At 39.9% G+C, this 25,729-nt stretch overlaps 2 annotated features.

Annotated features, from left to right (window-relative positions):
* Window positions 3,041-3,110: an enhancer, noted in NCBI's record as "active region_22934". NCBI's record gives its function as "activates an Ori minimal core promoter by ATAC-STARR-seq in GM12878 lymphoblastoid cells {active_cell/tissue: GM12878}" and the evidence as "EXISTENCE:reporter gene assay evidence [ECO:0000049][PMID:35858748]".
* Window positions 3,141-3,190: an enhancer, noted in NCBI's record as "active region_22933". NCBI's record gives its function as "activates an Ori minimal core promoter by ATAC-STARR-seq in GM12878 lymphoblastoid cells {active_cell/tissue: GM12878}" and the evidence as "EXISTENCE:reporter gene assay evidence [ECO:0000049][PMID:35858748]".

The raw sequence follows: 25,729 nt of genomic DNA, 5'->3' as shown, positions 1-25,729 counted from the left end.
CCGGGCGCGGTGGCTCACGCCTGTAATCCCAGCACTTTGGGAGGCCGAGGCGGGCGGATCACGAGGTCAGGAGATCGAGACCATCCCGGCTAAAAACGGTGAAACCCCGTCTCTACTAAAAATACAAAAATTAGCCGGGCGTAGTGGCGGGCGCCTGTAGTCCCAGCTACTTGGGAGGCTGAGGCAGGAGAATGGCGTGAACCCGGGAGGCGGAGCTTGCAGTGAGCCGAGATCCCGCCACTGCACTCCAGCCTGGGCGACAGAGCGAGACTCCGTCTCAAAAAAAAAAAAAAAAAAAAATGTTAAGTGCTGAATTATTATATATGTTGAAATTATCAATTGTAACAAAATAGCTAAACTGAGGATGAAAACAGGTAAAGGTGTGGGCTTTGTCATGTTTGTTGTGTACATATGTGCGTGTGCACACACCCATACACACATGTACATATCTAGGTACATACACATATCAGGAAATATGGGAAATTTTGCACTATGCTGGGGAGCTTTCATTTTGAGTACTCTGTGGGCCTTATTGCCCACCCTGGAGCTTTACAGGGGAGAACCCGAGTTGAGCCTCATGTATCAGTTAGGAAAACCCCACGCCACGTGGCCTAAACCATAAGAAAAAAATATTATCCGACTTAACAAGAGGTCCGCCAAGGTACAGGGGCTCAAATGTGTCATTAAAATCCCAGTCATATACTGAAATATTATTCAGTTCTAAAAAGGAATGAAATTCTGATACATACCATAACATGGGTGAACCTTGAAAACATTATGCTAAGTAAAATAAGCCAGATACAAAAGGACAAATATTATAGGATTCCACTTATATAAGGTAAATTCACAGAGACAGAAAGAATAGAGGTTACCAGGGGCTGAGGGCAGGGAGGAATATGGAGCTATTGTTTAATGGGTACAGAGTTTCTGTTTGGGGTTGTTGAAAACGTTCTGGAAATGGGTAATGGTGATGACACACAACATTGCGAAATGTACTTAATACCACTGAATTGTACACTTAAATATGGCTAAAATGATAGATTTTATGTTATATATATTTTACCACAATACAAGTTGAATATCCCTTATCCAAAATGCTTGGGACCAGAAGTGTTTTGGATTTTGGATTTTCATATTAGAGATGCTCAACTTGTAATTAAAAAAAAAAAGAAAAGGTAAAAAAACAAACCCAGGTTCTTTCCATCTTTTTGCTCTTCCATTCTCAGTGTTTCGGTTGAGCTCCCTTCCAAGGTGTAGCCTGGCTGCTCCAGTGTCCGACACTGTATACAGACATGACAGTGTCCAGCCTAATAAGATGATAGGAGTGGTCCACCCATATGGAAAAAATAATTCATCACTGCATTATTGAAAATTGTTGATACCCAGTAATGATAAAGAGCCATCTGACTCCCAGCTGGTTCCATTATTTCAAAATTCTCCCTACCCCTACCCTGAGTGGACACCTCCTAGCCTCCCTGCATCCAAACATCTTCCAACACCGTTTCTGAGTCAGACTACCTGGATTTGAATTCCACCTCTGTCCTCTGTAAGTGATGTTCTTAAAAAGACACTTAATTTTTTTGAGTTTTAATGTCCTCATCTAAAAATAAAGATCATAAATACCTCCCTGAAAGGTCATTTTGAGGATTTAATGAGCTAGTGCCTCACATATAGCTACCATATCTATGCTACTAGAACTATTTTTTGTTGCCTACACACATTCAATATGCAGCATGGGTTGGCGGGCAGGACACATATGCATTTTTACATACCCACAATCCTATCCTTGGAAACCTCGCAACTTGTAGGGAATAGATTTTAAACAAAGACAAAGGAAGATGCCAGGCCTTGTTCCCATGTGCAGTACAGCCCCCAGTCAGGCACTGAAAAGCAGAGGAGCCCCCTTGATCAGCAAGAGATGTGTGAGCTGTTAATGATGAGTATGAGTGCGGAGGAAGCTGGTGGCATGAAGGATGCAAGAGCATGGTGCCATGATTCTAACAAGTAGAAAGTTGAGCCATAAACTAGAAAAGCAGGAAAATGGAGTCTAGGAGTGCCAGCTTTGAAGTCAGTTAGGAGGAAGAATGGCTCAGACCTGGATGCCTTCAGTGGAGTTTTGTTGCTCCTTACACTTAAAAATGGTGGATCAACTTTGTGTTCATTTGATTATGGAGGGCAGAGGGTGTAATCCGTTTAATTTAGCTCTTTTCTGGGGCTTAGCAACTCCCAGATAATTTTGCCTCATTTGGGAATAGGCTGTATGAGTTTAGTTATACTATTCCCCTTGGGTTGGGTGGAGAAGGGAGTAAGAGTATCACTAGTCTACTCTGCTCCTTTCTTTCCTGACTAACTTAAGTTCTGCCTTGAATTCAACAAGCTGTTTGCTGGGGTTAACGCTTTCCAGCACAAGTCAGGGATGTTTTCCGCTTCAGTCCCTCATCCTTCAATTTTGCAGATCCTAATGCATTGGTTGTCAAAACCACTTCACTGCATAGAAGGTAACACCACTAGTAACAGAAATAACTTCCCTTGGCCCTCTCATTTGCAACAGCTCATTCCTAAGGCCCAATCCCAGTTCCTGATGGTGGATGTTGTTCCAGCCTGGAAAGCTTAATCACTTCCTCTCCAGTAACGAATAAATAGACTAGATTTCACTGAGTCATCTGTCTGCCCAGCAAAGGACCCTGCAAAAAAGAGATCAAAGTGGTTTTCACAGTCTTGTTGCAAAGGAAATCTGAGTTGGGGCCCAAGTATTCAAAGGGTGTAGAGTGGCTCAATATTAGTATCTAATTCAGGAGAATCATTTCAGTGCAGGCAAAGGATTTCAGGTCCTTTATCTGTACATTTTGCAGGTAAAAAACCTCAGTGCAGGTAAAGAAACCACATGCCATGCTGTGGAGTCAGGCTATTCCCAACTGTAGAGAAAGTCCATTGATCCATGAGTGTGGTGGGGCTGGCCCCAGGGCTAGTGAGAAGCTGTTGCCATGGCTGCATTGCTGGTAAGGTGGGATTCCGTGTGTTTGCCCTGAGCAATCTGCGCTGCCTCTGTGACTTTCCTCCTCTTCTCAGTCTTACACCGCCTGGTCTTAGGTCATCTGCTAAGCTGTCACAGAAAGTGACGTACCCTCCACACCTGTGGATGGTCTGAAGGGCAAGGAGGAAATTTCAGAAAGCTGTCAGGCACTTGATGAAATGAAACCACAGCATCTGGAAGTTGATGTCCTTAAGCCAATGACCAGAAGGAATGAACCAGAGAACTGATGTTGTTGTCCATGGACCTGATGTTTCTTATGAGATTCCAAGTAGAAAAATTTATTAGATTTTGAACACTTAACGGCTGGATAAGGACAACTTTCTTATATATATATATATATATATATATATATATATATATATATATATATATATATATGTCATATGTGGCAATACTCTTGTCAATTAACATATTAAGTTTGGATTGAGGTAAGTAATACTTGAAAGTGCCATTAATTAATAACTCAGAGCATGAAAATTATTTGATTAAAAGCTCAATGAGGCTGGGTGTGGTGGCTCATGCCTGTAATCCCAGCACTTTGGGAGGCCAAGGTGGGTGGATCACGAGGTCAGTAGTTCAAGACCAGCCTGGCCAAGACGGTGAAACCCCATCTCTACTGAAAATACAAAAATTAGTCAGGCGTGGTGGCAGGTGCTTGTAATCCCAGCTACTCAGGAGACTGAGGCAGGAGAATTGCTTGAACCTGGGCAGCAGGGGTCGCAGTGAGCCTAGATCTGGCCACTGCACTCCAGCCTAGGCGATACAGTGAGACTCTGTCTCAAAAAAAAAAAAAAAAAAAAGCTCAACGAATTAACTTGTGGAAAAAAAGAAAGACAATTGCTCTTCTCTCTTCTCCTTTGCCAATGAACCTGCTCTCACAACTGTTTACTCCAACATCTATACTCCTTCACAGTTGCCTTCCTTTCTGTCATGAGCAAGAATTGTTCTGGGGAAATCACTTCTTTAGTTAGTTTAACACACTTCTATTTCTCTTCAGATAGAGTGAGTTCTGAGTCATTTTCACTCTGAGGTGAATAATTAGAAATGCTTTTATTAGCAAGTAACAGGAACCTGCATTTAAGCAGTTTCCAAATCTAATTAGAAATGTTGCTTTCAGCTACCTACTCAAACTACAGGTTTAAATCAAGAAAATTGTTTTTTTCTATTATTTGTAGGGGACCTCTACAAACTAGCTCCTTCCGGAGGTTTTCCATGTATATATTGGACAGGACACATAACAAGCTTTACAGATTTCTGTATATTTTATGTGTATTTATAAATAATGCTATCACATTAAAATGTTCTAAAATTAGATTGCAGTGCTGGTTGCACAACTCTGCACATATACTAAAAACTGTTGAGTTGTATACTTGAAATGGGTAAATTTTATGGTATGTAAAATATATCTCAATAAAGAACCTAAAAAATACTCTCGAGCAAAGATGACAATAAAATGCTACAGTGATTTGGAAACATGATTTAGCAATGACTAGTAATGTTGAAGATGGGCATATCTTATGAATCTAGCAATTCTACCTCTGGATTTGTATCCCAAAGAAACTCTCTCACAGGTACCCAAAGAAGCACGAGTGAGAAGGATGCCTATGCAGCATTCTTTGTAATAGGTAAATAATGGGAAACAATCTAAATGTCCATCAGTAGGAGGATGCAGGAATACATTATGGCAGGTTCATGAAATCAATACTATAGGGCATTAAAAATAACTAGGAAACCTACATATGTGAATATGGGTAAATTTCTAAAATGTAATATGTGGGAGAAGTAAATTATAGAATAATATGGATAATTTGATAACATTTATATAAAGTTTTAAAACGTACAAGACAGCTCTGTATTTTTAATGGGTACTTACATTGGTGATGGTATATTATTTTCCATGCTCTCCTGTATGTTTGAAAAAGTTCATAATTATTTTTTAAATTAGCATTCACTTGTAGTCATGTTAAGTGCTGTAGATGTTTCCTACACGTGCAATGATTTGAGGAACTAAAAAAAGATGAAGACTGTCAATGGGTAGAGAAATATATGCTTGTAATAATACGTTTCATTTTTTATCACCTACTGTGTTTGGCACTTAACTTACATTATCTCCAGTGTTCCCCAGATTCCTACAAGGTTAGTCATACAGTGTCCAATACTGGGCCAAGAAACAGATGCTGGAAATGTAATATACCCAAGATCACAGGCTGGTAGAGGATGGAGTCATTGAAATATTCAGTGGTCTGGCTCCAAAGCCTTGTGGGTCTTAGGCTTCATAATTGTGCTTCTCAATGTACCTGTCTGCTTTTCTCATGGTGGAGAAATTAGGAGAGGCCAGTAGTACAAAGAGAAAACCATAACAAGTTCATGGTGAGGTTGCCATAATTCTAGTCTTCTTTGCCTAGTATGCACAACTCATGACAGAGAGTCTCAGGAACTATGCGTCCTAATTCCACTGTGCTGCTGTGGAGCTAACTTTTCTAATCTTCACTTTCCTCCAGAAGACTCAAAGTATTGCAGTAGCTGATTTCTAACATTTTCTAGCTGTGTGATTTTTTTCTGAGCTCTAAAAACTAAGGTCTCTGCCCATTCTAAAATGCTTCCCTTCTTTTGTTGTACTTTCTTCACTTCAGCTTTTGAACAAGCATCACTAAGCACTATTTTGTCACAAACTCCATGACCTTTGGAAATGGAAATGATGCTCTCTTAGTAAGCCCTGTCTGTGTCTAGGGAGAGAGGAGGATGTCAGTGTCTTTTAGCTCTGAACAAGAAGTCCACTATGTCTGGCATGATAATTTAAAGGGTCGCCAAATACTCTTGTTTTGTTTTGCTTTATGTAGTTTATTTGCTCATACTAGATGACACATATGTTAAATGAAACACTGCTTTGATTTAGAGGGAGGAGGAAAAATGGGGTACATAATAAGTGGGACTAGTGTTTATTTCAGGAAAAATGTGTTGCTTAGCTCCTGTATGCATATAATCATGTGCATCTTTTCTGTGTTTCAGAACAAAGATGTTGTTCAGCAATATAGGAAACATTAACAAAGGGAAACGAATGCAGACATTTACATACACTGTGATTTGTGAGTTTCAGGGTGGGATAGATCTAGCAAAAATTATGTTTAATGCTTAGATTTTATGTAAAACTACTGTGATATTGAATGCCGTATGTTTTGATTAGAGTACAGCCTGTGCAGCCCCATTATTTGGGTTCAATTTTAGTTGTACATTTATTTGTTGGGTAACTTTGGTCAAATTTAGTTAACCTTTCTATACTTTCAATTTGTAAAGTAGAAATCATAGGAATGACTACCTCAGAGGTGTTCTGGAAAGTAAGTGATTTAATAGAGATACAGTACTTAGGACAGGGGGAGTAAGGCATTCTTAGAAGTCGCTTTCATCCTGACCTTGCCTATTATTCAAGGCTGACTGCTAAGAGACTAGTTAAGCAATTAGATCCAGATCTTGATAGTTGCCCTATTTTTCCCCTTCAAGGCCATATGTGTTACTTTCCTCTAATACATTTGCCTAAAGCCAAAGAACAATCCATCTACCACTTAAGAATACATTTATTGCTTTTAACTTAAAAAAAAATTAAAGAAAAGATCTCTGTAAGGATGAGCTCCATCTTATGGTAGGCTTCATCTATACTGCCTCCTTCTTGTCGTAGTGGCTGCTGCAGTCAGGCATCCAGTCACTGGTGCACAGCTGAGAGAAAACTCAGGGCTGGTGTTCTGAAGCGGGTGACATAAGGATCTCTAATCACTGACCCAGCGACTCCAATACTGTCTTTGTTTCCCTGAGTTTTATATTTGCCCAGAACTGGAAAGCTCCCAGCCATTCATTCACTGGTCAGTTCTGTGTGTGTGCTATAGTAGCTACTCTGTTGCCAGCAACAAGAAGAAGGAGGTGAGGAGAGCTCTAGGCCTGATTTTCACCGCCAAAGAAATTCTGGCACTGGTTAGTGCTCTGCTGCGTGGTTGGCATGGAGACTAGAGAATTCAGGCTACCTAACAATTGAGGACTTAGGGGAACAATAGGTCCTGGTTATTTTCTTAGCCTTTTGCTGAGATATTTCCTTTATTCTTCTTTGGACTGCCCCATTAGGACCCAAGCTATTTCTTGTGGTTGTAAGGGCCTACTCAACTTAAAACATTTAATTCAGTTCTATTTAATTTTTAAAAATAGTTAATATATTCAAATGCCTCGAAATTCAAAGAGTACAATGCAGCAACCTTGTTTCCATTCTCAAAGCCATTTACTATTACAAGCTTCTTATGAGTTCTGCCAAGATGCCTTATGCATATACAATCAATAACATATGTACATATATACAAATCTACCCATCCCCATCTATCTCAGAGGTCATCCGATACCAATGCATGAAGAGCTTCTTCATTTTGTTCTTACTGACTGCCTAGTACTCAGTTGTTTCAATGTATCATAACTTATTTTAACCAGTACCCATTGATGGATGGCCCTTTATATTGTTTCCAGTCTCTCGATACTACAGCGCCCCTGTAACAAGCAACCATGTATGTGTGAAATTTTGCACATGTATAAATGAATATATCAGTAAGATAAAAGCCTAGAAGTGAACTTGCTGGGTTAAGAGCATGTGGATATGAAATTTCTACAGATACTCCACAAAAGTTGCATCAGTTTACATTCCCAGCAGCATTATGTGAAAGTGCCTGTTTTCCCAGAGCCTTAGAAGAGTGTGTCACCAAACTTTCCCAATCTAAAGGTAAAAAACAGTGTCTCACCAAAGTTTTAATTGGTGTTTTTTAAGATGTGAAGTTGAACATCTTTTCATATGTTCAAGAGCTGTTGGTATTCCCTTTTGTGTGAAATATCTGTATATGCCCTTTGCCCAAGTTTCTATTGGATTATTAGTCTTTATATAACTATTATATGAATAGGAGCTCCTAAGAATAGGATCTCTTTATATGTTGGGTAAATTAGCCCCCGTCTGTGTTTTGCAAATATTTTTCACAGTGCGGGTTTAGATTTGCTTATGGTAATTTTTTTACCCGTGGAGATATTTTGTATTTGTAAGTAGCAGAATTTATCAGTTTTTCTTTTATCTGAGTTTTTTCCTAAGCTTTATAATATGCTTTAGTATCTGAGAAAGCTTGTTTACCCTTATTGTTCTTCATTTTCAAAATTTTCTACTTCTGTGCTTGCTTGTTTACTATTGCATATGACTGAAATATAAATTTTATATATTAATATAAATATGCTTATATTGCTATAAAAATCCTTTTATTAGGGCTGCATTCCATTTACAGCTTAGCTTGGAGATTTGATATATTTATGTTGCTGTGTCTTTCCATCTAGGGACATCTTATGCCAAAGGGCAACACAGATGTGCCATCTCTGGGTGCTTTTAACAAAAATGCCAAGCTTTTGTATATGTTATGTGTGCCAAGTGTTTAAAGCAGGCCTTGCACTAGTGCACCAACAGTTTTTACTTTATGACTTGAGCAAAACATTTTGACATTGTATTATGGCTATGTCTCTAAAGTTAATAGTAAACATTTTTAATTTAAAAATATTAAGAACCTTAAAAATATATATTTTAATAATTCCCTTCCAAAGCCAGAAAATTAGAGATATGAAGAAAGCATTGTATACATGTGCTTATATTATTTTTAGCATAATAACAAAAATTAGAAATGATGTAAATGCCCACAGGTGAAGATTTGGTTAAATTACAGTAATCCTTATCTTGAAATGCATTTCAGTGATTCAACTTTTTAAAATAAATATTTATTGACATAAAAATTCCAGCTATAATGTTAAGTAATAGTACAAGAAACCAAAAATATATTTAGTATGGCTTGAATTCATTTTAAAAAGTTGAATGTATATATTACCTATGCTTTGAAAAAAGACAAGAAGGCAGTAAACTAAAATGTTAGTATTAGCCATCTACAAGGGTTGGATTGTGGACAATTTTTTTTTCCTTCCGTTTTGTTGTACTTTCCAACTTTTCTACAAGTAACAGTAATTTTATATCTAAATAATGAAATTCTAAAAAATTAGCTGCATAACAAGGTTGGGTTTGAATGACATTTATAAGAGGTATATTGGTAGTTTAAAAACACAATATTTTCCCAAATCAGAGCAGCCTACAAATGCTGGATGTTTTCTTCATTTTATTTATGATACAGCCACTCTTCCTAAAGAAACTCTTATTGAAATTATAGATTCATTAATGAATGACTGATATGTAAAAATATAACTTTAAAAATAGTGGCTTGTAGAATTATTTTAAAGAAGCAAAATAGTAAAATTAAGTGTGCATAGTTGGAAAGAAATTATTGGACAGTTTTATTATTTGCCAGTAGCATGACTATACACCTGTTGTGAAACAAAACAAAGTAACAAAAAAGAGAAATCATCCATTGTAATTTTACTGTCAAAGAAAGCTTTAACCACCTATAAATTAGCAAAAAGAAAAGTTAATTCTATGATTGTGATATGGATGATAAGCAGATGAGGACATCAATATGTCTGCCCTGTTTTGACTGCCACTGAAATATCTATTTCAGCTAGAACAGTATCTGCTTCCCACAGTGTATTTATTTGCTCTCAGGGTGAGTATTATAAGCCAGCTGCTATTAATCCTGTGCTGAGGAGTTATGTTTCCTACCCTCAGACACAAGGAAACTCGAGAATTTGAAATCAAATTTAAGAAATGCACATTTCTTTTAAGTTTGGTTTTATTTGAAAGGTTTCTAGAAAGCATTTTCCTCTTATTCCAAGAAGTATTTTATTGCTGAATTTTAAAATGTTATTCCTGAACTTTTAAAGTATTTCAGTTTTTAATACCCATGGATTTTTCTGGAGACTTGGACAATGAACTACTTTGAACTGAGAATTTGTTGACATCTTACTATAAATTTTAATGAATGAAAGTACACCAAGGTTTAAAATGAAAGAAAGAGGTTTATATAATAGTAGCCCTTCATTTTGGAGTTTGGGGAGAATAAAAAAAACTTTTTTTTTTTTTAATATATAGCTGTTGGCCAGGTGTGGTGGCTCACGCCAGTAATCCCAGCACTTTGGGAGGCCGAGGCGGGAGGATCACATGAGGTCGGGAGTTCGAGACCAGCCTGACCAACATGGAGTAACCCTGTCTCTACTAAAAATACAAAATTAGCTGGGCTTGGTGGTGTGTGCCTGTAATCCCAGCTACTTGGGAGGCTGAGGCAGGAGAATCGCTTGAACCCAGGAGGTGGAGGTTGTGGTGAGCCAAGATCATGCCATTGCACTCCAGCCTGGGTGACGAGCGAAACTCCGTCTAAAAAAAAAAAGAAAATACATAGCTGTTTAAATGCTAAGCCTGTCATCGTAGACCTTCCTGTATAATGTATTTGTAATCAAATGTTTTTCTGGAATGTGATGATTCCTCTAATATTGGGAATAGAATTTATAGCTCCCAATTGTTGCGCTATAGTGCTATTCCTACCCTCACCTACAGCTTCATGCAAAATATTTTATTGAGCACATACTATGCATCATTCATTGTACAACAGGCTGAAGATATAAAAATAAATAAGACATCGTCCCTGCCTTCAAGGAGCTATATGAGTGAAAACCAAAATCCAAGTTAGAGTATGGACATAGTAACAAAGTAAATTCCATATACGAGGTGTTATGAAAGATGGGAAAAGAACAACTGGACTCTGAAAGATAACCTAGAAATTTCATCCAGTGGAGTCGGGTAATAATGTTGCTCCTGCTGATAGATGATGATGACAACAGTAATATCAGTGCCAGGACTTTAGATCTACCTATACATTATGAATTTAATCATCACCATATTCCAACGAAATAGATAATACAATAATTTCTTTTTACAAATAAAAAATCAAAGTCATCAATGAAAAGAGGCAGAGTTGAGATGTAAACCTGGGTCCATCTGACTTGGAGTCTAAGTCCTTAAAGAGTTTGGGCATTGGAATTCTACAGAGCTGCATTTGGATTGTAATACCACATGTTCTAGCTGAGTAATTGTTGGTAAATTACATAACCTGTCTAAGATTCAGTTTTCTCCTTTGTAAAATGAGGATAACGGTAGCCCCTGTGCATGATGCTGTTGGCTTCCTACCTAAGAGTTACCCCTCCTGCCCTCCTTACTCCTTGCCAATGGAGCTCACCTCCAATTACTATGGCTGAAAATTCCAGATCCTCATGATCCCAGTTGCTCTTGCAGCTAGGGCCTGAATACAACATGACATAGTCCTGGCCATTGGGGTCCGAAGGGAGAAATCAGCAGGAGAAACATTTCCTCTCTAATAAAAAGAGATGCTAGAAATCTACTTTCATTACATATAGTCGTGTGAAACCTGAGACTACTCTAGCCAACTTGTAATCTAAAATGAAGATGTCACGAACACACTGAGGATAAGATGCAGAAAAATGGTAAGTGAAGGAGTCCTTTTTGACATCACTGAGCCAATAACATCATGGAATTATGTGAAACACTAAATTTATTCAGTATTTAAGCCACTTTTAATTGAACATTCTATTACTCCTAGGTAAACCAAATGTACTGAGTTTTAGATGAGCTAAATTGTGTAAAACACTAAGTACAATACTGGCATATAGTAGCTGCTTAATAATAGAGGCTATTTTAATATTCTTGGTCAAAGTCTTCCAAGCATGGTGTTTATTTTGTAGCTTTTGATCATTACTAGTAAGGCATTGTTGTATTGCAATAAATACCTGAGACTGGGTAATTCATAAAGAAAAGAGGTTTAATTTGCTAATAGTTCTGCAGGTTGTACAAGCATGGCTCCAGCATCTGCCCAGCTTCTGGGGAAGCCTCAAGGAGCTTTTACTCACGGCAGAAGGTAAAGCAGGAGCAGGAGCAGTCAGAAAGGTGCCACTTACTTACCCAGATCTCGTGAATACTCACTAATAATTGCAAGAATAGCACCAAGCTAAAAGGGATCTGCCCCCATGACCCAAATACCTCCCATTTGGCTCCACCTTCAACATTAGGGATTACAATTCAACTCATTACAATTCATTACAACTTCATTACAATTCAAATAAGATTTGACAGGGACATACATTCAAACTATATCATTCCACCCCTGGCCCCCCAAATCACATGTCCTTCTCACATTGCAAAATACAATCATGCCTTCCCAGTAGTCCCCTAAAGACTTAACTCATTCCAGCATTAACTCAAAAGTCCAAAGTCCAAAATCTCATCTGACACAAGGCAAGTTCCTTCTACCTATAAGCCTGCAAAATCAAAACCAAGTTATTTATTTCCAATATACAATGAGAGTACAGGCATTGAGTAAACATCCCCATTCCAAAAGGGAGAAATAGGCCAAAAGAAAGGGGCTTCAGTTTCCATGAAGTCTGAAACCCAGCAAGGCAGACATTAAATCTTAAAGCTCCAAAATAATCTCCTTTGATATCATGTCCCACATACAAGGTACACTGGTGCAAGAAATGGGCTCCCAAGGCCTTGGGCAGCCCCAACGCTGTGGCTTTTCAGGATTCAGAACCTACAGCCGGTCTCACAGGTTGTTCAGTGCCTACTTTTCTGGGTGCAGGGGGTTAGCTGCCAGTGGCTCTATCATTCTGGGATCTAGGGGACAGTGGCTCCCTTCCCATGGCTTCACTAAGCAGTGCCCCAGTGAGGACTTTGTGTGTGGGCTCCAACCCTACCTTTCACCTCTGCACTGTCCTAGTAGAGGTTCTCTGTGAGGGCTTTGCCCCTACAGCCGGCTTCTGCCTAGACACCAGGCTTTTTCATACATCCTCTGAAATCTAGGCAGAAGCTGCCAAGCCTTCACTCTTGCATTCTGTGTACCCACAGGCTTAACACCACATGGAAGCTGCCAAGGCTTACATCGTGCACCCTCTGAAGCAGCAGCATGAACTATATCTGGGGTCCTTTGAGCCAAGGCTGGACCCAGAGTGGCAAGGATGTGGGAAGCAGTGTCCCAAGGCTGTATAGGATACCAGGGCCCTGATCCTGGCCCTGGTCCAGGAAACTATTCAGTCCTTCTAGACCTCAGGGCCTGTGTTGGGAGGGGCTGCCTCTGCAATCTCTGAAATGCCTTCAAGGCCTTTTCCCCATTTTCTCAGTTATTAGCCATTTGGCTCCTTTTTAATCATGCATATCTCTCTAACAAGTGGTTGCTCCATAGTGCGTTTGAATTCCTCTCCTGAAAAAGCTTTTTCTTTTTCTGCCACATGGCTAGGCTGCAAATTTTCCAGACTTTTATACTCTGCTTCTCCTTTAAATATAACTTTAAACTTTAAGTTATTTCTTTCCTTCTGCATCTGAGCATACGTTGTTTGAAGCAGCCATGAGCATCTTGAATACTTTGCTTCTTAGAAATTTCTTCTGCCAGATACCCTAGGTTATTGTTCTCAAGTTCAAATTTCCACAGATCCCTAGGACATGGACACAATATAGCCAAGTTCTTTGCTAAGGCATAAGAGTAACCTTTGCTCCAGTTCCCAATAAGTTCCTCATTTCCATCTGAGACCTGATAAGCCTGGATTTCACTGTCCATATCACTATCAGCATTTTGGTCACAACCATTTAACCAGTCTCTAGGAAGTTCCAAACTTCCTTCATCTTCCTGTCTTCTTCTAAGCCCTCCAAACTCTTCCAACCTCTGCCTGTTACCCAGTTCCAAAGTCACTTCCACATTTTCAGGTATCTTTATAGCAATGCCTTACTCCTGGTACCAACTTTCTATGTTACGCCATTCTTGCATTGCTATAAAGAAATACCTGAGACTGAGTAATTTATAAAGAAAAGAGGTTTAACTGGCTCATGGTTCTGCAGGCTGTACAAGCATGGTGCCAGCATCTACTTGGCTTCTAAGGAGGCATCAGGGAGCTTTTTTTTTTTTTTTTTTGAGATGGAGTCTCGCTTTGTCACAAGGCTGGAGTGCAGTGGTGTGATCTCAGCTCACTGCAACCTCTGCCTCCTGGGTTCAAGTGATTCTCCTGCCTTAGCTTCCTAAGTAGCTGGGACTATAGGCACACACCACCATGCCTGGCTAATTTCTGTATTTTTAGCAGATATGGGGTTTCATCATGTTTGTCAGGCTGGTCTCAAACTCCTGACCTCATGATCTGCCCACCTCGACCTCCCAAAGTGCTGTGATTACAGGCGTGAGCCACTGCGCCTGGCCAGGGAGCTTTTACTCATGGCAGAAGATGAAGCAGGAGTAGACACGTCACATGATGAAAGCAGTAGCTAGGGGCTGGGGGAAGGTGCCACACACTTAAAAAAACAGACCTTAGAAGTACTCACTCACTATTGCAAGGATAGCACCAAGCCATGAGGGATTTGCCCCCATGACTCAAACAACTCCCATTAGGTCCCACCTCCAACGTTGGGGATTACAGTTCAACATGAGATTTCACCGGGACAAATACTCAAACTATACCAATCACCATTTCTAAATTTACCAAATCTAAGCATATAAGTAATAAATAAATCAAATAGTTGATGCTGTTTGACTTCTCAAGAGATTAAACATAATGCCAAGTAATAGCTAGGTAGTTAGCACAGAGCATTGAACTACTAGATGAGCTGCTGGATCAATCATTAATTAGCTTTGCAGATCCACTCAAGTTATTCAAGTTTTATAATGTATATTAAAGGATTGTAGGCATCTACATGAAAGAAACTTTAATTTTAAAAAATTAAAATAGCTTACAATTGACCACTGAAAGCACACCTGTAACTGAACAAAGTGGGTTTATTACCTGTTGCAGAGAGGGAGAACATACACCATAGGAGACCATGGAGCACCTCAGGCAAAGGGTATGAGAAGGAACCCATTATAGGGTTGGACTTTGGTAGAGTAATTTGGGGAATGGTCTAAAGTGGTGAGGGATTGTTCTAGATTAGAGACTGTAAGAAAGCAGGGGCAATTGTATATTGGGTATATCAATAAATCTTATTTATAGGGAGAGGAAGTTAGAATGATCATAAAGTTGCAATTGGTTAATAAGTAGTAGTCAATTATTCTGGCCAAGAGAGGAGACATCTTATATTTTGTGGGTTGCATGCTGACTTTGTATTTTTTTTTCTGTGCATAGACAAAATTATGAAGTGTCCTTATTTTGTCTCGTTTTATCATGGTCTTAGAGTAATGTTGTCTGCAGTCAGTATTCTATATGATGGTTTATGCCTAATAGGAGAATAATATGGCCTAGTGTAAGGTGAGATTCTGAATGTCAAGGACTGTAATTTTTGTTTTCCTTTCATTGAAAAGTACAACAATATAAAATGCACATCTGCTTTTCTATATGTATTGCCATATTTCAAAATTCAGATTTAAAGTCAATAAGGTGATGGCACTTTAATATAAAGGAAATAAAATGTTGTTGTTCCTATTAATGGTCCTCACTGGAGAAGTTCTATAGTTCTCCTTGGATGATTTAAGGAAGTTAGACTGAGAATACCACAAAAGAGCAGAAACATGTTTCCTTAAAAGGTATAGTCTTAGACTGGTTGCGTTCTTCATCATGGTACAAATAAAAGATAATTTCTACCTATACTTTAGTCATTCTACAATTAACTTTTGGCAATGAAATCCCAGTTATATTTACTTTTTTAAAATGTCATTTTTTTGCAATATGACTGTTCATGAAGGAAAAAAATGTAAATTAAATTAAAAAAATATTTTGACTGTCCTGGGTTTCTCTTAGTGTCTATTCATATTTATATATTTTTAAAAAGATTTTAAAAGATCATGGTAATAGCATCTTAATGTACAGATAATAAGTCATAAATGAACTTCAGTTGTGTTTCAGTTCTAGAAATATTTGAATGCCACGTGGCCAGTTGAAAACTGATAATAAACCATGTAGACACAAGTGTAGGGATAAAAAGAGCTGCAATAAGTTTCTGGATTACTAGCTGAAAAATAAAACTACACAGGAAAAAGTCAAGGAGACACAATAAAAGTATTTTAGTAAATGACATTTCTGAAAAAAAAAAATTAAGGTAATACTTAGATGATAAATGGAACCACTGACCCAAGCTAGGCACAAAACTCTCAGTGCTTTATGATATACCCAGGGTGATAAGCAAGATGAGCAACATTTGGAGGCTGTTGCTCCCCTCCATGTGTCCTGATAGACAGGCTCTAGTGTGAAAACAGAGGGAGCTCTATCTAGGCTAATGACTTGTTTCTGTGGATCTCAAGATGCTTATCAGTAGAAGGTAAAGGTGAAAATGCTTGCTGGGTTCTCAAACTTTATTGCATATCAAAATGACCCAGAGGATGTACTAAGATACAGCTTGCTGAGCCCCACCCCTAAGGGTTTCTGATTCCTTAAGTCTCAGTTAGGCTAGAGAATTTCCTATTTCCTAGGTGATGCTGATACAGCTAATACAGGAACCACACTTTAGAAAACATTACTCTATTGGAAAAGGAATTATTTAAAGCACTACCTGTTGAACTCCCTGCAAGGTGGGTTATATGTTCCTCCTTTCAGGACTAATCTTTCAACATACTGAGATCAGTTTGAGGTGGCCTGATGATAGGGTTTGGTGGTGTCCCTACCCAAATCTCATCTTGAACTGTAGCTCCCATAACTCCCATGTGTTGTGGGAGGGACCCGGTGGGAGATAATTGAATCATGGGGGTGGTTCCCCCCATACTGTTCTCATGGTAGTGAATAAATCTCAAGAGATCTGATGGTTTTATAACAGGAACTACCTTTCACTTGGTTCTCTTTCTCTCTTGTCTGCCACCATGTAAGATGTGACTTTTGTCTTCTGCCATCACTGTGAGACCTCCCCAGTCACATGGAACTGTGAGTCCATTAAACTACGTTCTTTATAAATTACCCAGTCTCGGCTATATCTTTATCAGCAGCATGAAAACAGACTAATACACCTGGCTTCAAGTCCCTTCCTGTTGCTGGTGCCCTAAGTCTGATTCCTGGACCTCTTATCTAGATCCTGAGTCCTGGATGCTAGTCTTCTTAGGCTGCATCTTCTCTTGGGCTTGCCTACAGCCTGCCTGCCCTACCCACATGACTTGCAGTGCCTGCCAACCCCTCTTCTACCTGCACCAACCATTCTTGTCCTGTCTTGTTCTGTCATCATCTAAGTTCCTCAGGAAATTTATTGCCTATACAACTCTAATTTGTTTCCGTTGCATTGCCGTGATTAATATAATGAAGTAGAATCTCTGTTGGGGGTTCAAGGAAAATACAAGTGTTTGATTTGATTGCGTTTTAAAGCTGAGATATGTGAATTGTTAGTGGTTGATTCATCATAACTAATAAGACAATGAGCAACTGATGATTTGAATAGTAATTGACTTCCACTTACATGGGACATACATTGAAATAGTCTATAAATATTTAGGAATTGTATCAGTTTTCTCTTGCTTTATAATAAATTATTACAAACTTAGTGGCTTAAAATGACAGCCATTTATTAGCTCACAGTTCTGTCAACATCTGGCATAGCAGAACTGGGCTCCCTGCTCAGAGTCTCAGAGGCTAAAATCAAGTGTTAGTGGGTTATATTCTCCACTGTCGGCTCAACTAGGGAGTAATCAATCAGCTTCAAAGCTCATTCAAGCTGTTGGCATAATTCAGTTTCTTGTGATTGTAGGACTGAGGTCCCTGTTTCCTTGCCTTCAGCTGGGGATTACTCTCTATGCCTGGAGGCCATTCCTTCTCACAGGCCCTCTTGCAACATGACAGTAACAGAAGACTTTGAGTCCAGTAAGAGAATCTCTCTTGAGTTTGAATCCCTCTAACTTTATTTATCCCTCTGCTGCCACAGGCCAGGGAAAACTCTTTGTTTTTAAAAGGCTCATGCAATTAAATTTTGTGAGTCTAGTTGGATTATTCCCCTTTTGACATATAACATAACATACTCATTGGGCTGATATTTCATATTTACAGGTTCCTGCCACACTCAAAAGCAAGACAATTGTACAAGGTTGAGAGTCATTGGGGCAGAATTCTGACTGCTACTCTCCACCCCCTTACCCCCAATGATCCACCTGTGACACATGCAAAACACATGCCCCTCAAAGGTTCCCATGGGTCTTTTCTCTCTATATCATCAGTTCAAAGTCCAAAAATCTCATCTAAACATGATCAGCTCAAAAGTCCAAAATATCATCATCTAAACCAGGTGTTGATGTGGCTCCTGTGTATAATTAATTCTGGGCACAATTCCTCATTATTCATGGACTGTGAAACTAAAGAGACAAGTTACCTGTCCCACACTATCAACGTACAATAGTGGGACAGGCATAAGATGACAGTTACAGGCATTCCAATTCAAAAAAGAAGGTACAAATAACTTATCAGTCCAAAGAAGTTTTGGCATGTAGCTGTACCAACTCCATTGGATTTCAAAGCTTGGGAATAATTATCCCTGACTCTCTACTTCATTCTCTAGGCTCTTGGCTTTCCCCACCCAGGATCTTGGTTTTGCCTTCTGGAGAGGGTTACTGGGGGTCATTCTTAGAATTCTGCCTACCATAGCAATGATTCTATTTTTTGTGTAGCCCATGTTTCATATATCTTAAAGAATTTATGGCAGATACATAGGAACACATGATATAGTGACAAGTATGGTATAACTCAAATGTTTATAAAGCTAATGAAATGACACTGCAATTTTTAAGAATGACAGTGTCAACCACCAGATGCCACATTATGAATAAGTCTGTTAGTTATTCTCTAGCAGTGATCTCATAAGTGTTGACTTCTAAAACTATGGGGCCTCCATTGGTAATGGTGATCTCATAGATGATGATCTCAATAATTAAGCATGAGGAAATCAAAGAACTGAGAAAAAAGGTCACAATAAATTTTTTTAAACAAAGTCTATTGGCATTTTTTTCAAGCTAAGTTTTCTCTAAGAATAGTTAAGTGTCATCAATAAGAAAAAGCCAACCAGATATCACTTTGGTAGTCAATTTCTTAATATAAAATGGATCTTAATATGAAAGGGATCCCTAAGACTTAATCTAGGTAAAATGTCCAGCACATGGAAGACTCTTTGGAGGAATTTTGGGAGTGGCATTTAAATCATGCACACTTGGATACCGCTTCTATGTAAAGCTATCTTGGACAAAGTCATAAGAAGGCTGACATGACCAAAGAGAGAAAGAAAAGACTACAGTTAACAATAATTTATTGCATTTATCAAAATAGCTAGAAGAAAAGAACTATAATATTCTCAATACAAATAAATGATGAATGTTTGTGGTGATGAATATCCCAATTACCCTGATTTAATCATTACACATTTTATAGATATATCAAAATATCATATGTACCCCCCAAATTTTGTACAGCTATTTATATATCAATTAAAAGAGAGAGAGAGAGAAAATCTTTAATGAATTATGGCAGACACGGGGGCAAAGGTAAAGACGACCTGGTACTTGAAGCCTAGAACATAGTTAGGTGTCTGATTTTGATTCAGAGGGAATCTTTGATTTCTGAATAGAGGGGTTAATATTGTTGGAACAACCAGCCAGAGATAAGGGTAGCAATAGAATAAAAAATGGACTAGTGAACAGAAGTGAGAAGAAGATGATAGAAGAAGTTACAGTGATAATGTGGACATTTTGTTCTTTGTATATTAAAACAATGGCCCTGGCATGCTGTCAGCACAGAATGTTCTCTGAAGCATTATACGAGTAGTACTCGTGGATTTCTGCTAACATAGTCATCATTTCTTGTCCAGTCTCTCCTATGAACAAGGGCAAGGATCATATGGACTGTTGTTACAATTACTACAGTGCATAGGGTTATGTGAAAATTCAGTTTTTGGTGAGAGAATCACACAAATTTAGTCAGTACAAATAGAATAAGTACTCCAGATTCTGACCTTATTAGATAATCTAATGGATACCATTTATCACGTGCCTCCTGTGTGTAAAACACTGTGTTATTTGCTTTACAAATGTTATCTCATTCTGTTCGCAAAAAAAAATCCTTTGGCTGTAGGAACTTTTGGCCCTATTTGAAAGTTGAGGAAACTGGGGCTCTGAGAAAGGTAATTATTTGCCCAAGGACACACAATTAGGAAGTGGTGGTTGCCTCTGTAGCATTCTGCACACTTTTTTCATTGTTTACCCAGTATATTGAAATTGCCTGTTTATGTGTCTGTCATCCACACCAGACTGTGAGGTCATGAGGGGTGGGACTCTGTCTTATTCTGAACCTGCTGCAGGCAATACATGTGTGTTGAACTGAATTATCTGCTTCTAAAGCCTGTGCTCTTATCACCTGGCATGATGTGTTAACTACCTAAACTCAGTGGCCTTAAGAACATGACAGAAACATGGCAGGGACACAGTTAGGGCCTGGAGGCAAGGAAAACACAGCGTTTAACATTGAAAGGTCCAGAAATGACCTATATCCTTCTCTTCAGAAGAATTCATTCTCAAAATTCTTTGTTCATGCACATACTTCCTGACAATAAAAACAAAACAAAACAAAACAAAACAAAAAATCAGTCTCCATGAACAGTACATACAAACTGTTGTAAACCTTTCTTCCTTTAACTTCCTCTCACCGCTCCCCCACCCCCACCTCCCAGAGCGCACAGAATAACAAAAGAAATGTGACAGTTATTGCTAGGTTCCTGGCATTACTACTGCCTGGCCCTGAGAGACAGGAAAGGACCCACAGAGCTCACAGATTCACAGATAGTGAATGAGGCATGAAAACAGTGAGGAGACTGAGGACTATGAGAATAAACTAGGACCCAACTTAGTCCTTAGGGTTAGGGCAAGTATGAGGGGCATTTAAGTGGAGGCCTAGTGGTAGCGTGGCAAGGTAGGCATCGGCCAGGAAAAGAGTGTGTGTGGGGCCTGAAGCCGAGGAACCAGCAAGAGTCTGACATGCAGGCAGAAAGCAATACCAATAAGGCAGCGAGGAGTTGTCAGGGAGGAGAGAGGTACGAATCAAGGATGTGGGGCAGGTGCAGGCCAGAGCCTGGCGGGCTTTGGAAACCACATGAATATTTGTAAACTTTTCCCTAAGAGCAGGGAGAAGCTGCTGAATCTAAAGGAGCCTCATGACATATGTGCCTTTCTCTCTGAGTAGCTGGGGGAAATTTGGTTAAGGAGGCAAGAGCAGTTGTAGGAAGGCCTGTTAGGAGGCTAATGCCTCAGTCTGGAAGGGTTAATGGGACCATCTGAAAAACTCTGTCACCTGGCACCACCACTCCTACATTCACCACCAAGTTATTTCTCTGCCAAGTGAAAAACACTTTGCATTCATCACTAGTCTGGATACTCCATGATTACAGAGTTCTGTGGACTGCATGGTCTGGTTCCTACCTGCCTCTAGCTTGGGGGGTCCACATCTCCCTCTTATTCACAATACTCCACACGTGTTGGCTTTCTATTTGCTTTCACAGTGCACTGAGTTTTTTCTCACTTCAAGACATGTCCTTAGGAAACAGTGTTTACTTCTACCTGGACTCCTCCTCCTTGCTCTACTCACTTCCTAATTAACTGCTCCTCCTCTGGCTTTCACATCAAGTAACACTTTCTCAAAGCAGCCCATGTTGACCCCTTAGAATAGGTCATGGCTTCTGTTGCACACCCTTAAAAGCATATGTGTTTCTTCTTCCTAGTGCTGACCTCACTTTGTATATGTTATGTTTGTTTACTATTTGTCAGAAATCTTTTGATAGCAATGAATGAAATCCAACTCAAATTGGCCTAAACAAAAAACAAAAAGCGTTGGAAGACGGATGTGTTTGTTCATATATCCGAGAGGCTAGGACAGGGTTAGCATGTTGCCTAACTCCAGGGAGCACTGTTCAGTGATTCTGGAGGCAAGCAACACAGTGGCACTGGCCAGGGGATATTTGACCTCTGACATGGCGGGATCTAGGGGTTCAGACCATGCCATGGTTCCATCTCTCCTTCAGTTATGTTGATTTTGGCATGGACATCCTCATGGAGCCTATCATAGCGGGCAGGGTTCAGAGGATGGGATTTCCCAGATGAAGTGTTTACTCAAAGAAACTGGAAACAGCAAAACAAAAGGGGTAAGTGCAAACCATAATCAACATGAGCCATCCACAAATGATCCAGTGGAATCTGGTCACATATCAGATCTGAAGGGCAAATAAGTCTACAAATGGGCAGTGAATCTAGGGATTAGGTGTCCAGCAGTCAGGAATGGGAGAAGAAAGCAGGTTGGAAGCAAGTTAGAGGAAACTGCTCAGGATAGAAAACAAGACCAAGGTGGTGGGGCCCATTCTTGCTGGTGTTTCTCCAGTGATGGGGATGTGGTCCTGCAAGCTATAAGCTGCAGGCCAGGTCCCAAATAGATGGGAGTCCTTCAGGGAGACAACTATACACAGCAGCTCAGCCCCAGGACCTAGGGACTGAGGGGGTATGGAGAATGGCAAATTGGAGACAGTAGACCCATTACTGAGGAAATATACTGGGGAGGCAACGTAGTACCTACATTCTGGCCCAGACTGTCTAAAGTCAGACAAATTCCACCCTGCCATTTACTAGCCATGTGAATTTGTTTAAGTTACTCAACTTCTCTAACCCTTGGTTTCTCCATCTGTATAGAAGTACTTACAATGTCTGTTATAAAAATTAACGTAGCAATGCTAAACCTTTTTTGCACAGCCTCTTTCACACAGAAACACTAAATAAATGCTCACTGCTATTATTAGCAGCAAACTATAATACTAATTAGCAACAAAGGAAACTAAGAAACAATTTGGAAACCCATGGTCAGCACAAGAGCTGTCATTGCTAGCTCTGAATTGCCATGCCCCTTTCTTCTTTAGGTCTTTGCACAAGGTATTCCACATTCAGATCTCAGCTCATACATTCCTTCCTCGAGGTTGGGGGTCCTGCTGTTCTAGAGGTGCTGGCCTGATGAGTGCGCTAAAGACATTTGAACCTGTCTCCCTGTATCTAGTTTGGCCTGGAAACTAGGGGAAAGGCTGAATCTTCCTATTCAAAGTCCAGCTTGTGCCTGAACAGAGGTGGACTGAGTCTCCACATCCACTCATTCATTTTCACTATGCAAATATTCACTGAGGACAACCTGTGTGCCACACACTCTGCTGAATTATGGTGACTCAGAATTGAACATCCAAACATGGCCCCTGCCCTCCTGGGCCTTCCAGTTGTATAAAGGAAATAGATAAAGCATCACAAGGATCCTAAGAGAGGAAGTAAAGGGCACAATGGCAGCTATGGGGAGTGGAGGAAGTAGGCAGGGCAATATGTGGCATCCAGTTATAACAAGGGAGCTACAGAGGCTGGGAAATTGGCAGGGCCCACCCCCACCCTGAGTCCACGTGTACACATTTTTCTTTGAAACGGGCCAACAGAAACCTTGCATGTATATCCTAGCAGTTTTCCTCTACAAACAGTTTAAAAATACATATTTCTTACAGTAGCTAGGAATGTAAAATAAGGTATAGGACCTGGAAAACAATGGGTTCTTAAAAATAATGTCAATATTGGTGGTTGTTTAGCATCATTATCATCACTGTCAGTGTCCTGCTGATGATAGGTACAAGGTTGAGTGTGAGATTGCTGTCAGCCTGTGGAAGATGTAAAAAGCACAGTTTTCACCATTTTGCCTCCCAAGACATAAATAGAGATGAACAGGTTGTAGACAGAGCAAAGGATCAACTGGGGAGACTGTAGCTCTCAGCCTAATATTCTCAGATGAAGGTAAGGGTCACATAATTTTTCACCGAAGCAAGGCCTTTGACTTCTCCCCTAAATCCTTCAAACCTTATAAGCTACTCCAAGAACAACAATAACAATGATAACAAAACAAAACCAACTTAAGAGCCAACAACAGCTTGGGTGAATCCACACTTCCATTAATCTAGTCCTCCAGAAAAGGTTTCTGGAAATTACATTGCTCTTTCTCCTCTCTCTAGCCACAGAACTAGGGTACTGCTCAAAACATTTTCTTTTCCAACACAACTGACATTTTCTTTTCTTTTCTTTTCTTCCTTTTTTTTTTTTTTTTTTAAACAGGGTCTGGCTGTATCACACAGGCTGGACTGCAGTGGTGTGGTCACGGGCCACTGCAACCTCCACCTCCCAGGCTCCCACCTCAGCCTCTCAAGTTGCTGGGACTACAGGTGCACACCACCACGCCCAGCTAATTTTGTATTTTTTGTAGAGACGGGGTCTCGTCATGTTGTCCAAGCTGGTCTTGAACTCCTGAGCTCAAGGAATCTGCCCACCTTGGCCTCTCATTCAGGGCATAGCAACTTTATGTTACCCCAGGAACCATGAGTGGGGCCTGTATGCGATTGTAACTGAGGGACCCAAGCTGGTGATTTTATCAAAACAAACAACTGTAGGCATTATTGTTTATTCTTAAGTTGGATAAAGTAGAGCCCTAATAGGCAGGACTCTTCTGGGCAGGGAAAATAAGGGATTCTAGCCCCAGAACCTACTGAATAGACGCACTGAATTAGAATTTAGGAGTGTTCTGTTTTTTGTTTTGTTGTTTTTGTTTTTAAGGTGGAGGTGGAACATGAGCAAATTACTTCTTTTACTCAGTGATCCAGAAGGCATACCGTGAGATCCAGGTAGAGATCCAGGTAAGGGACACTGTGAGATTCTGGGGTCCCTTTGCCTGAGGAGTGAGGGACTTAGCTGGACAGTTTTCCACATCATGTCCAGCTTGTTCTCAGGACAACCAGATGCTGACTTTGACTTGGCGCCCTCCAGGTTAGCAGAAGCTGGGCCCAGCCTTGCCCCCTGTGCCCAGGTTTGGGTTCCACCTGAAGGAAGTTTTATGGCCATAGCATCAAGTTCAAATTATTTCACATGACTTCCTAAGATTCTCCCCAGTCTGCCTCCTTCAAAACTCTCCATTTTTCACTGATCCCCTGTTGTGGGTTATTTTAAAGCCATGTGAGATTTCTTTTAGTTCTTCAGCAGCCAACCTTTCTCTTCTTATCTAGAATTAATGCTTGTAAGCATTTCTCTCTGCCTGCAACTTTCACCTGCGAAAACACCTACCTATTCTTCAGGCATTTGCTCAATCATTACTGCCTCTAGAAAGCCTTCCTCTCCACCACACCCCAGCCCAGAGGAGGTTCTTTGGATTTTCTAGGAGGGCATAGATGACACAATCTTGCTCATGCATGCTGTATTTCCAGGCTCACTCAGCACTGCGCAATGCACACAGTCAGCAATAAATACGTGTTGAAAGAATAAGCGACTGACTGAATGAATAGATGAAAGAAATATGCCTGCCCTCCACAAATGGCTAATCAGAGGGTTACTTTCAATAAGGACTTGGAAGGTGAGGGCTGTTTTAGGTATCCTTGGACTGGGTGCCTCTGACTAAGGAATTGAAGCTTGTCTGAAGCACATGGGAAAACACTTACTTATTAGTTAAAATAAATAACAGTAAACTGACTTAGCCAAAATAAAATAAATCATGGAAAACTGATTGACTGTACTGAGCTTAAAGAGGATAAACATACAGCAGTACTCAGTGTCAAGGACACATCTGCCAGCCTGCTTCTGAGGATCTGATCTATGCTTCTCATGGGGAGAACCTTAGGTAGCACAGACCTACCACTAATGAAAGTCTTCAGATGGGTCCTCAGGCATGCTCCACAATAGCACTGAACTCACAGAACATACACTAAGGGGCTTATCCCCTCTG

The sequence above is a fragment of the Homo sapiens genome, chromosome 5 (assembly GCF_000001405.40).
Source record: "Homo sapiens chromosome 5, GRCh38.p14 Primary Assembly".
Taxonomy (NCBI): Eukaryota; Metazoa; Chordata; class Mammalia; order Primates; family Hominidae; genus Homo; species Homo sapiens.
Note: the sequence above shows the minus strand (reverse complement) of the source record. Positions and strands in the feature narration are given on the sequence as shown.